The 13,047-nt window shown below is 46.1% G+C and overlaps 1 long non-coding RNA gene across 3 annotated transcripts in view; it reads right to left on the bottom strand.

Annotated features, from left to right (window-relative positions):
* The window catches only part of LOC105373247 (uncharacterized), a 17,985-nt gene continuing 11,523 nt past the window's right edge, over window positions 6,586-13,047 (bottom strand). Inside the window, exons 3-4 of one of the 3 annotated variants that reach the window (XR_938433.2) lie at window positions 12,651-12,843; window positions 6,586-7,096 (exon numbers count right to left, since the gene is read on the bottom strand). This is a non-coding gene — a long non-coding RNA (uncharacterized LOC105373247). The remainder of the gene's footprint in view (window positions 7,097-12,650; window positions 12,844-13,047) is intronic. The other 2 variants (XR_938432.2, XR_938434.2) reach the window with 2 other exon arrangements.

The raw sequence follows: 13,047 nt of genomic DNA, 5'->3' as shown, positions 1-13,047 counted from the left end.
GATAGGTTCCAGGGAAGAGGACATGGATATAACCCTGGGAACAGAGTGTAGAATAGATTGGAGGAGATATGCTAGGAGATAGGGACACCAATTAGGATACAATGATGATAATTCAGGTAAGAGACCAGGAAGTACTGAACTACGGCAGTGGTTTTAGGGGTAAAGAAAAGGAAACCAGATTCAGATATTTAGAAGGTAGGATCAAGGGAACTTAATAACCAGTTAAATGTAGGGGGTAAGGAATGGAAGAAGACTAGAATGATTCCCAGGTTTCTGATTTGGGTGCCTGGAAGTCTGGTTGTGCCACTAACCAGGATAGTAAATAGAGGCAGAAGAGCAAGATTTGGTGAAAGTCAATCAGTGCAGTTTTGGTCATGTTGAGTTTAAGTGTATGCAGAATGTCCGGGTGGAGATAACATGTAATTGGCTATAAGCCCATTGAAATGTAGGTCTAAATGTCAAAATAGAGGTCTGGATTGTCGACATAGACAATGTGTGAGTTGTCAACCTAACGTTGGTAGTGGAAGCTGAGGGCATAAGGGAATGAGAAAACTAAAGTTAAAAAAAAAAAAAAAAAAGACGGCCGGGCGCCGTGGCTCACGCCTGAAATCCCAGCACTTTGGGAGGCTGAGGCGGGCAGATCATGAGGTCAGGAGATTGAGACCATCCTGGCTAACATGGTGAAACCCCGTCTCTACTAAAAATACAAAAAAATTAGCCGGGCATGGTAGCAGGTGCCTGTAGTCCCAGCTACTCGGGAGGCTGAGGCAGGAGAATAGCGTGAACCTGGGAGGTGGAGCTTGCAGTGAGCCGAGATCCCGCCACTGCACTCCAGCCTGGGTGAGAGCGAGACTCCGTCTCAAAAAAAAAAAAAACAACCTAGGACAGAAGCCTGAAAAACATCTACAGTTAAGAGGCAGGTGATGGAGAGGAGCCAGCCAAAGCAACAGAGAAAGAAGGTCCGAGCAAGGCTTTGAGAGGCCATTTTTTTCTTTTCTTTAATTTTCCGCCGGAGTCAGAGTCTTGCTCTGTTGCCCAGGCTAGAGAGCAGTGGCGTAATCTCAGCTCACTGCAACCTCCACCTCCCTGCAACCTCCACCTCCCGGGTTCAAGCAATTCTCCTGCCTCAGCCTCCCAAGTAGCTGGGATTACAGGCATGCACCACCACGCCCAGCTAATTTTTGTATTTTTAGTAGAGACAAGGTTTCACGATGTTGGCCAGGCTGGTCTTGAACTCCTGACCTTGTGATCTGCCCCCTTGGCCTCCCAAAGTGCTGGGATTACAGGCGTGAGCCACCGCGCCTGGTCTTTTTTTTTTTTTTTTTTTTTTGAGACAGAGTCTCAAGAAACTGGCTCTGTCACCCAGGCTGGAGTGCAATGGCACGATCTTGGCTCACTGCAACCTCCACCTCCCGGGTTGAAGCCATTCTCTCATCTCAGCCTCCCAAGTAGCTGGGATTACAGGCGTCTGCCACCACACCTGACTAATTTTGTTTGTTTGTGTGTTTGTTTGTGTGTTTTGAGACAGAGTCTCACTCTGTCGCCCAGGCTGGAGTGCAGTGGCGTGATCTCAGCTCACTGCAACCTCCGCCTCCCGGGTTCAAGCGATTCTTCTGCCTCAGCCCCCATAGTAGCTGGGACTACAGGCGCATGCCACCACGCTTGGCTAATTTTTGTATTTTTAGTAGAGACGGGGTTTCACCATATTGGCCAGGCTGGTTTTGAACTCTTGACCTCGTGATCCACCCGCCTCAGCCTCCCAAAGTGCTGGGATTACAGGCATGAGCCACCACGCCTGGCCAAGGGGCCATTTTTTCTAAGTATCATTATCAATTACATACTATTTGAATACTTTCGAACATGATAATTGGGTTTTATCAATACTAAGGATTTCTGTCCTCAATAAATAATGAGTAACTAGATACATAAGAAATATCAATCAAGAAAAAGTGAATGGCCCAGTCTGCAACACTCTGCTTTAAGGACTATAAGTGAATGACACTTGTATTCAATATTGTACTTAGAGATTCTAGCCAGAGCAATTGGCAAGAAAAAGAAAAGGCATCCAGAATGTAAAGGAAGTCAAACTGTATCTATTTGCAGATGACATGATGTTGTATATAGAAAATCCTAGGGAATCTACTAAAAAAAAAAAAACCTATTAGAACAAAGAAATGAATTCAGCAAAGCTGCAGGATATACAAAAGTCAATATATGACAATCAAATATATTTCTGTACACTTGCAATGAACAATTTGAAAATGAAATTAAGGAAACACCACAGCCACGACATGTACTACAAAAAGAAAAAAAGAAAAAAAATAAGGAAACTGTTCCATTTATAATAGCATCAGAAAGAATAAAATGCTTAGAAATAAATGTAACAGCAGAAGTACAAAACTTATACTCTGAATACTACAAAATATCGTTTTGTTTTGTTTAGTTGTTGAGACGGTCTCACTGTGTTACCCAGGCTAGAGTGCAGTGGCTTGATCTCGGCTCACTGCAACCTCCGCCTCCCAGGTTCAAGCGATTCTCCTGCCTCAGCCTCCGAAGTAGCTAGAATTATAGGCGCACACCACCACGCCTGGCTAATTTTTTTTTTTTTTTTTGTATTTTTAGTAGAGACAGGGTTGCACCATGTTGGCCAGGTTTTGCCGAGGCGGGTGGATTACCTGATGTCAGGAGTTTGAGACCAGCTTGGCCAACATGGTGAAACCCCATCTCTACTAAAAATACAAAAAATTAGCTGGGCGTGGTGGCAGATGCCTGTAATCCCAGCTGCTCAGGAGCCTGAGGCCGGAGAATTACTTGAACCCGGGAAATGGAGCTTGCAGTGAGTTGAGATCGCGCCATTGCACTCCAGCCTGGGTAGCAAAACTCCGTCTCAAAAAAAAAAAAAAAAGGATCTAAGTAAAAGGGAGAACACCTGATGATTGTGGATCACAAGGCCTAATGTTGTTAAAATGACAATCTTCCCCAAGTTAACCAACAAATTCAATGCAATCCCTATCAGAATCCTAAGTTATTTGTAGAATTTGACAAGCTGATTCTAAAATTCATATGGAATTCCCAGGGACCTAGATTAGCCAAAACAACTTTGATAAAACAAGAGCAAAATTGGAGGACTCACACTTCTTTTTTTTTTTTCTCTTTCGCTCTCTCTCTCTCTTTTTTTTTTTTTAACAAGCTCTTGTCAGGCCGAGGACTCACATTTTCTAATTTTTTTTTTTTTTGAGATGGAGTCCTGAGTAGCTGGGATTACAGGCATGCACCACAACGCCCGGCTAATTTTTGTATTTTTAGTAGAGATGGGGTTTCACCATGTTGGCCAGGCTGGTCTCGAACTCTTGACCTCAAGTGATCCACCCACCTCTGCCTCCCAAAGTGCTGGGATTACAGGCGTGAGCCACTGCGCCTGGACTATAAAACTGTTAGAAGAAAACATAAAGATAAATCTTCATGACCTTGAATTTGGCAATGAATTCTTAAATATAACACCCAAAGCAAAGACATCAAAAGAAAAAATAGATAACTTGGACCACATCAAAATGAAAACTTTTGGGGGGGGTGTCCTAAAAAAATTAAAACTTTTATGCTTCAAATTACATTATTAAGAAAATGAAAATTTCAACACTGAATGGGAAAAAATATTTGTAAATCATACATCTGATAAGGGGCTTGTATCCAGGATATACAAAGAACTCTTACAACTCAATAATAAAAAGACAAATAAACTGGGCCTGGTGGCTCATGCCTGTAATCCCAGCACTTTGGGAGGCCAAGGCGGGCGGATCACCTGAGGTCAGGAGTTCGAGACTAGCCTGGCCAACATGGTGAAACCCCGTCTCTACTAAAAACACAAAAATTAGCCGGGCATGGTGGCGTGCACCTGTAGTCCCAGCTACTTGGGAGGCTGAGGCAGGAGAATCGCTCAAACCTGGGAGGTGGAGGTTGCGGTGAGCCAAGATTGCGCCATTGCACTCCAGCCTGGGTGACGAGTGAAACTCCATCTCAAAAAAAAAGACAACTAGCCCAATTCAAAAATGGACAAAATTTTAAATATACATTTCTCCAAGGAAGATATACAAAAGGTTCAAGGTACATGAAAAGATGCTCAACATTATTAGTCATCAGAGAAATGCAAATCAAACCTACAATGAGATACTACTTCACAACCACTAGGATGGCTAGAATCAAAGTCAGATAATAACAAGTGTGGATGAGGATGTGAAGAAATTGAAACCTTCCTAGTGGGAATGTAAAATGGTACAGCTATTTTGGAAGACAGTCTGGCGGTTCCTCAAACAATTAAATATAGCATGTGACCCAGCATTTCCACTCTCAGTTGTCTACCCAAGAAAACTGAAAATATATGTTCACACAAAAACTTGTACACAAATGTTTATAGCAGCATTATTAATAATAGCCAAAAGGTGGAAACAACCCAGATGTACAACTGATAAATGCATAAATAAAATATGGTCTATCCATACAATGCACTATAATTCAGCCACAAAAAGAATGAACTAATGGTACAGTCTACAATGTGGATGAACCTTGAAAATATGCTAAGTGAACAAAGGCAACCACAAAAGACCACATATTATATGATTCTATTTATATGAAATGTCCCAAATAAGCAAATCTATGGAGATAGAAAGTAGCATGGTGGTTGTTTAAGGCTGGGAGGAAAATAAATAAATACGTGAAATTTTAAAAATAAATAAAAATAAGTATCTGAGCCTACTGTGACTCGAAAGACTTCCCAATTGGCAAAACAAACAAACAAAAAACAAAAAAGAAAAGAAAAAGGCTGGGAGGATGGGAAATGGGGGTGATAGCTAAAGGGTACAGGGCTTCTTTCTGAGGTAATGAAAATGTAGCATTGACTGGTAATGGTTAAACATATCTGTGAATATACTAAAATCCACTGAATTGTACACGTTATTATTTTTTAATTTCTTTTTTTTTGAGATGGAGTCTCGCTGTCGCCCAGGCTGGAGTGCAATGGCATGATCTTGGCTCACTGCAACCTGTGGCTCCTGGGTTCAAGCAATTCTCCTGCCTCAGCCTCCTGAGTAGCTGGGATTACAGGTGCAGGCCACCACACCTGGCTAATTTTTGTATTTTTAGTAGAGATGGGGTTTCACGATGTTGGTCAGGCTGGTCTCGAACTCCTGACCTCGTGAGCCGCCTGCCTTGGCCTCCCAACGTGCTGGGATTACAGGTGTAAGCCACTGCACCTGGCCTATTTTTTAATTTCTTTTTTCTAAAATAAATATTATCCTCTTCTCAGGTGATTTTTTTTTCTTTTTTGAGATGGAGTCTCGCTCTGTCACCTGGCTGGAGTGCAGTGGTGCCATCTCGGCTCACGGCAACCTCTGCCTCCCGGGTTCAAGTGACTTTCCTACCTCAGCCCTCCGAGAAGCTGGGACTACAGGCGCGAGCCACCATGCCCAGCTAATTTTTTTTTTTTTTTTTTTTGTATTTTTGTAGACAGGGGTTTCACCATGTTAGCCAGGCTGGTCTTGAACTCCTGACCTCATGATTTGCCCACCTCGGCCTCTCAAAGTGCTGAGATTACAGGCGTGAGCCACTGTGCCCAGCCCGGTTTTTTTTGAGGCAGAATCTTGCTCTGTCACCCAGGCTGGAGTGCAGTGGCACAATTGCTAACTGCAACCTCCGCCTACCAGGTTCAAGTGATTCTCTGCCCCAGCCTCCCAAGTAGCCGGGATTACAGGCATGCACGACCACACCTGGCTGATTTTTGTATTTTTTGTAGAGACGGGGTTACACCATGTTGGCCAGGCTGGTTTTGAACTCCTGGTTTCAAGCCACCCACCCACCTCGGCCTCCCGAAGTGATGGGATTACAGGCGTGAGCCACCGTGCCCGGCTTTTTTTTTTTTTTTTTTTTTTTTTGAGAAGGAGTCTCACTCTGTCACCCAGGCTGCCCAGGCTGGGGTGCAGTGGCGTGATCTCAGCTCACTGCAACCTCCGCCTCCTAGGTTCAAGAGATTCTCCTGCCTCAACCTCCAGAGTAGCTGGGAATACAGGCGTCTGCCACCACGCCCGGCTAATTTTCTGTATTTTTAGTAGAGATGGGGTTTCACCGTGTTAGCCAGGATGGTCTCAATCTATTGACCTCGTGATCTGCCCACTTCGGACTCCCAAAGTGCTGGGATTACAGGCGTGAGCCACCGCACCTGGCCTGAAAAGTTAATATGATCATGTTAGTACTATTACTGTCATCCCAAGAAAAATTATATATTTTCTCTCTCTCTTGTTTTTTTTTTTTTTTTTTTTTGAGATGGAGTCTTGCTCTGTCACTGAGGCTGGAGTCTTGCTCTGTCTCTGAGGCTGGAGTGCAGTGGTGCGACCCTGGCTCACTGCAGCCCCTGCCTCCCAGGTTCCAGTGATTCTCCTGCCTCAGCCTCCCAGGTAGCTGGGATTACAGGCACATGCCACTACGCCCGGCTAATTTTTGTATTTTAGTAGAGAGGGGGTTTCACCGTGTTGGCCAGGCTAGTCTCAAACTCTTGACTGTCACATGCGTCTGTGTGAAGAGAGTCCACAAACAGGCTTTGTGTGAGCAACAAGGCTGTTTATTTCACCTGGGTGTAGGCAAGCTGAGTCCAAAAGGCAGTCAGCAAAGGGTGGTGGGATTATCATTAGTTCTTATAGGTTTGGGATAGGCAGTGGAGTTAGGAGCAATTTTTTGCAGGCAGGGGGTGGATCTTACAAAGTACAAAGGGTGGGGAGAACATTACAAAGTACCTTCTTAAGGGTGGGGGAGCATATTACAAAGTACCTTCTCAAGGGTGGGGAGGGTGTATTGTACAAAGTACATTCACAAGGGTGGGGGAATATCACAAAGTACATTATCACAAGGGCGGGGAGGGTGTATTGTCACAAAGTCAATTGATCAGTTAGGGTGGGGCAGGAATGGTGGAATGTCATCAGTTAAGGCAGGAATTGGCTATTTTCACTTCTTTTGTGGATCTTCAGTTGCTTCAGGCCATATGGATGTATACGTGCAGGTCACAGGGGATATGATGGCTTAGTTGGGCTCAGAGGCCTGACATTCCTGTCTTCTTATATTAATAAGAAAAACACAACAAAATGGTGTTGAAGTGTTGGGGTGGCGAACGTTTTTTGGGGGTGGTATGGAGAGATAATGGGCAATGTTTCTCAGGGCTGCTTCGAATGGGATTAGGGGTGGCATGGGAACCTAGAGTGGGAGAGATTAAACTGAAGAAAGATTTTGGGGTAAGGGGTGATATTGTGGGATTGTTGGAAGGAGCATTTGTCATATAGAATGATTGGTGATGGCCTGGATGCAATTTTGTATGAACTGAGAAACTGAACGGAAGACACAAGGTCTGAATAAGAGAAGGCGAAAAACAGGTATTAAAGGACTAAGAATTGGGAGGACCCAGGACATCCAATTAGAGAGTGCCCAAGGGGGTTCAGTGTAATTATTTGCTTGGTTGGTGAGTTTTTGGGCTCTATCCTTGAGTTTTTTTATGTTGTCATACACCAGGCCAGATTGATTTAGGTAAAAACAACACTCTTCATTTAAAAATATACAGAGTCCCCTTTTTTTAGCAATGAGTAAGTCGAGGCCTCGGTGATTTTGGAGGAAAGAGAAAGGCAAAGCCAGCAATTGTTTGTTAAAGAAGGATTAGAAACGGCTAGGAGAGAGTGAGTGATATTGATAGTGTGGTAGAGATAGCTGGGGAGAGTAGAGGGTGGCATAAGAACAGGAATGAGAATAAGTGAGTATAAAAGTAGGCTGGGCGCGGTGGCTCATGCCTGTAATCCCAGCACTTTGGGAGGCTGAGGTGGGTGGATCACGAGGTCAGGAGATCAAGACCATCTTGGCTAACATGATGAAACCCCATCTCTACTAAAAAAATACAAAGAATTAGCCAGGCGTGGTGGCAGGCGCCTATAGTCCCAGCTACTCAGGAGGCTCAGGCAGGAGAATGGCATGAACCCGGGAGGCAGAGCTTGCAGTGAGCCGAGATCGCACCACTGCACTCCAGCCTGGGCAACAGAGCGAGACTCCATCTCAAAAAAAAAAAAAAAAGTGAGTATAAAAGTAAAGAATAGGACTTCATCAGGGTGGAAGTATTGGAGTGTGCCCTGTCAGCAAAGATCATCCATCCACTCCAAGAGGGAGTCAAGAGTGGAGGATTGGGGATAGTACCAGGAGATATCCGCTACGATGGTTTGGAGGAAAAGTGTAAACTGGCAGTGTAAACAAGGGCAGGGCATTTACGAGTAGTTTAGAATGGTGAATAGGAGTATGACTAGCCAGAAGATAGTAGGGATGACAAGTTTTTGTGGTGCAGTCCAATTAGTGGGGGGTGACTGCGTAAAGCCCTATTGTAAAGAGTAGGGTAAGGAAGAAGAGACCTAATAAAAATGAAAGGATGTATTAGGCTTATCAGGGTTATTACTGTTCTTCAGAAATGTGAGTTTAAGGGAAGTAGAGGAGAGTACTTGCAACTTCCAGGAGGAAGAGGAGAGATCAGGCTGTCCAACGGACACAGCTTTATTCTGGAACAGTGAACCCAAGGGGAGGGTCCTGCAGGTGGACGGCAGTTGGGGTACTATAGATGACTAAGTAGGGTCCAGTCCATCAAGGTTGTAGAGTTTAAGGGGTCAGATTCTTAACAAGAACTGATCGTCCAGCTAGGGTGTCTTCATATGGCTGGGAATCTGGAGTAGGCAAGAGAAGATTAGCAGCCTGGCGAATTTCCTGTCTAGTCTGCTGGAGGACTGGAAGATAATCAACTAGAGGGCTGGTGTCTAGAATGAGACTGGGGCCTAATAAAAAGGAGCATCCATACAGGAGCTCAAATGGGCTGCACCCTGCAGCATCCCGAGGACAGGCCTGAATTCTGAGAAGGGCAAGTAGTGAAAGTACTGTCCAGTCCTTTTTAAGTTGAAGGCTGAGTTTGGTGAGGTGTGTCTTTAGAAGACCATTAGTCTGTTCTACCTTTCCTGAAGATTGAGGATGGTAAGGGGTATGAAGGTTCCACTGAATACCAAGAGCCTGGCAAACTGCTTGGTTGATTTGACTAATAAAGGCCGGTCCGGGCTGCCCACCGTCTGGGATATGAGAAGCACCTCTGCCCAGCTGCCCGCCATCTGGGAAGTGAGGAGTGCCTCTGACCAGCCACCGCCCTGTCTAGGATGTGAGAAGCGCCTCTGCCCGGCTGCCCACCATCTGGGAAGGGCGGAGCACCTCTGCCTGGCTGCCCCACTGTCTGGGAAGTGAGGAGCACCTCTGCCCAGCTGCCGCCCAGCTGCCACCCATCTGGAAAGTGAGGAGCACCTCTGCCCGGCTGCCGCCCTGTCTAGCAAATGAGGAGCGCCTCTGCCCAGGCTCCCCACCCCCACCGTCTGGGATGTGAGGAGCGCCTCTGCCTGGCTACCACGCTGTCTGGCAAGTGAGGAGTGCCTCTCTCTGGTCGCCGCCCTGTCTGGGAAGAGAGGAGCACCTCTTCCTGGCCGCCAACCTTCTGGGAAGCTAGGAGCCCATCTGCCCGGCCACCCAACTGACTGGGAAGTGAGGAGCACCTCTGCCTGGCTGCCCACCATCTGGGAAGTGAGGAGTGCCTCTGCCTGGCCACTGTGCAACCCTCCAAGTGTGAAGTGACAGCCTTGTGTGTGTGATCTTTCTGCCTTCCCCATGTTTGCATTTTCGATATTAAAGTTTACTTTTCAATTAAAGGTTTTAAATTGGAGGAAAAAAGAAAAGGCCGGTCCGTTATTGGACTGTATAGAGGTGGGAAGGCCAAACCAAGGAATTATGTCTGACAGAAGGGAAGAAATGACTGTGGTGGCCTTCTCAGACCCTGTGGGAAAGGCCTCTACCCATCCAGTGAAAGTGTCTACCCAGACAAAGAGGTATTTTAGTTTCCTGACTCAGGGCATGTGAGTAAAGTCAATTTGCCAGTCCTGGGCAGGGGCAAATCCCTGAGCTTGATGTGTAGGAAAGGGAGGGGGCCTGAGATATCCCTGAGGAGTAGTAGAATAGCAGATGGAATACTGAGAAGTGATTTCCTTGAGAATAGATTTGCACGATGGAAAGGAAATGAGAGGTTCTAAGAGACAGGTTAGCGGCTTGTAACCTACATGGAGGAGGTTATGAAATGACGACAGAATAGAATGGGCCTGTGAGGCTGGAAGGAGGTATTTTCCTTGGTCCAAGAACCATTTGCCTTGAGTGGGGAGGGATTGATAGGTGGAAACTTCAGTGGGAGAGTAAGTAGGAGTGACTGATGAGAAAGAGAAAACCTGGCAGTGAGGGACAGAAGTAGGTATACTGGCTGCTTCTTTAGCTGTCTTATCAGCATAATTGTTGCCTTGAGCAATGGGGTCTGAGGCCCTTTGATGGCCTTTGCAGTGAATGACTCTAGCTTCCTTTGGAAGTAAAGTGGCCTTGAGAAGAGTTTTTATTAAAGAGGCATTAATGATGGAGGACCCCTGCATAGCAAGGAAACCTCTTTCAGCCCATATAACAGCATGGTGGTGCAGGATATGGAAGACATATTTAGAGTCAGTATAAATATTGACATGTAGTCCCTTTGCAAGAGTGAGGGCCTGAGTTAAGGCAATGAGTTTGGCTTGCTGAGAGGTAGTGGAGGGGGGCAGAGCAGTAGTCTCAGTGATAGATGTGGAAGACACTATAGCATAGCCTGCCTTTGATGGTGATTGGTGATTGGGCCTGGAAGAACTACCATCAATAAACCAAGTGTGATCAGGGTGAGGGACAGGAAAGAAGGAAATATGGGGAAATGCAGTGAATGCCAGGTGGATCAGAGAGATACAGTCATGGGGGTCAGGTGTGGTATCAGGAATAATGTGGGGGCCAGCCTAAAACAGTAAGGTCAAGTTGTTTGGACAGAAAGGCTACAGGGCATTGTCCTGGCTCTTGTGTAAGAATTCCAACTGCACAGCCCTGCACTTTGGCTGTGTCTAATGAAAAAAGGTTGGGATGAGTTAGGGAGAGCTAGTGTGGGAGCAGCTTCTCAGGCTGTTTTTAAGGAATGGAAAGAGGAGTGGGGAAAGGATTTAGGATCTACGGGGTCAGCTAGGTTTCCTTTTGTGAGTTTAGTCAGGATGGCAAAACCAGGTATCCAAAGGTGAAAGTATCCAATCCTGCCTAGGAAGGAAAGGAGTTGTTGTTCTGTAGAAGGGGTTGGGGTTTGAGAGATCAGCTGGACATGATTGGCAGGGAGAACACGGAAGTTTTCATGAAGAATTATGCCCAGGTAGGTAACAGATGGGGAAGAAATTTGAGCTTTGGAGGGGGATGTGCGATGTCCTTTTGAGAATAGATGTTGGAGGAGCAGGAGGGTGTTCTGTTGGGAAGATTTGTAGGAGGGGCTATAAAGTAGAAGGTCATCAAAATATTTAATAAGTTGAGAAGCAGATGGATGGAAAGAAAGTAAATTATGAGAAAGAGCTTGACTGAAGTAATGGGGACTGTCCATGAAGCCTTGCGGCAGTACACTCTAGGTAAGTTGCCGAGACTGATGGGTGTCAGGGTCAGTCCAAGTGAAAGCGAAGAGAGGCTGGGATGAAGGGTGCAAATTAATAGTAAATAAAGCAAGTTTGAGATCTAGAACAGAATAATGGGTTGTGGAGGAGTTGTGGAGGGAAGTACTGAGGATAGGAGAGTATATGGGTTTAGAACCACGGGGTGAATAGGCAAGACAATTTGGTTGATAAGATGCAGATCCTGAACTAACCTGTAAGACTTGTCTGGTTTTTGGACAGGTAAAATGGGGGAATTGTAAGGAGAGTTTATAGGCTTTAGAAGGCCATGCTGTAGCAGGCGAATGATAACAGGCTTTAATCCTTTTAAAGCATGCTGTGGGATGGGATATTGGCATTGAGTGGGGTAAGGGTGATTAGGTTTTAATGGAATGGTAAGGGGTGCATGATAGGTCACCAAGGAGGGAGTAGAGGTGTTCCATACTTGTGGATTAAGGTGAGGAGATACAAGGGGAGGATGCGAAGGAGGCTTTGAACTGGGGAAAAGGGCTGCAATGAAGTGTGGCTGTAGCCTGGGAATAGTCAGGGAAGCAGGTAATTTAGTTAAAATGCCTCGACCTAATAAGGGAACTGGGCAGGTGGGGATAACTAAAAAGAGTGCATAAAAGAATGTTGTCAGCTGGGCGCAGTGGCTCACGCCTGTAATCCCAGCACTTTGGGAGGCCAAGGCAGGTGGATCACGAGGTCAGGAGATCGAGACCATCCTGGCTAACACAGTGAAACCCCCGTCTCTACTAAAAATACAAAAAATTAGCCGGGCGCGGTGGCAGATGCCTGTAGTCCCAGCTACACGGGATGCTGAGGCAAGAGAATGGTGTGAACCCGGGAGGCAGAGCTTGCAGTGCGCTGAGATCACGCCACTGCACTCCAGCCTGGGCAACAGACCAAGACTCCATCTCAAAAAAAAAAAAAAATGTTGTCCAAGTTGGCACCAGAGTTGGGGAGTTTTAAGAGGTTTAGAAGCCTGGCTGTCACTACCCACAACAGTTATGGAGGCAAGGGAAACAGGCCCTTGAAAAGAAGGTAATGTGGAGTGGGTAGCCTCTGTATTGATTAAGAAGGGGACGAACTTACCCTCCACTGTAAGAGTTACCCAAAGCATCCGGGATGGTCCAGGAGGTTTTTGAGGCGATCGGACAGCGTCAGTCTTCAGCCGCTAAGCCGAGAAGATCTGGAAAGAAGTCAGTCAGACAGCCTTGGGCCAGAGTTCCAGGGACTCTAGGAGTGGCTGCCAGGCAAGTTGGACAGTCTGATTTCCAGTGGGGTCCTGCACAGATGGGACATGGCTTAGGAGAAATCCCAGTCTGCTGGCATTCCTTGGTCCAGTGGCCAGGTTTTCAGCACATGAAGCAAGATTCTGGGGGAGGAAGTCCTGGAGGAACTCCTGGCCGCTGCGTTTCAGGCATTTTGAAGTTCTTATGTACCGGAGATGTGGCTTGGGTTTTTCTCACAGTGGAGGCAAGTAATTGCA

This window comes from Homo sapiens, chromosome X (assembly GCF_000001405.40).
Source record: "Homo sapiens chromosome X, GRCh38.p14 Primary Assembly".
Lineage (NCBI taxonomy): Eukaryota > Metazoa > Chordata > Mammalia > Primates > Hominidae > Homo > Homo sapiens.
This window is presented reverse-complemented; position numbering and strand designations above follow the sequence as displayed.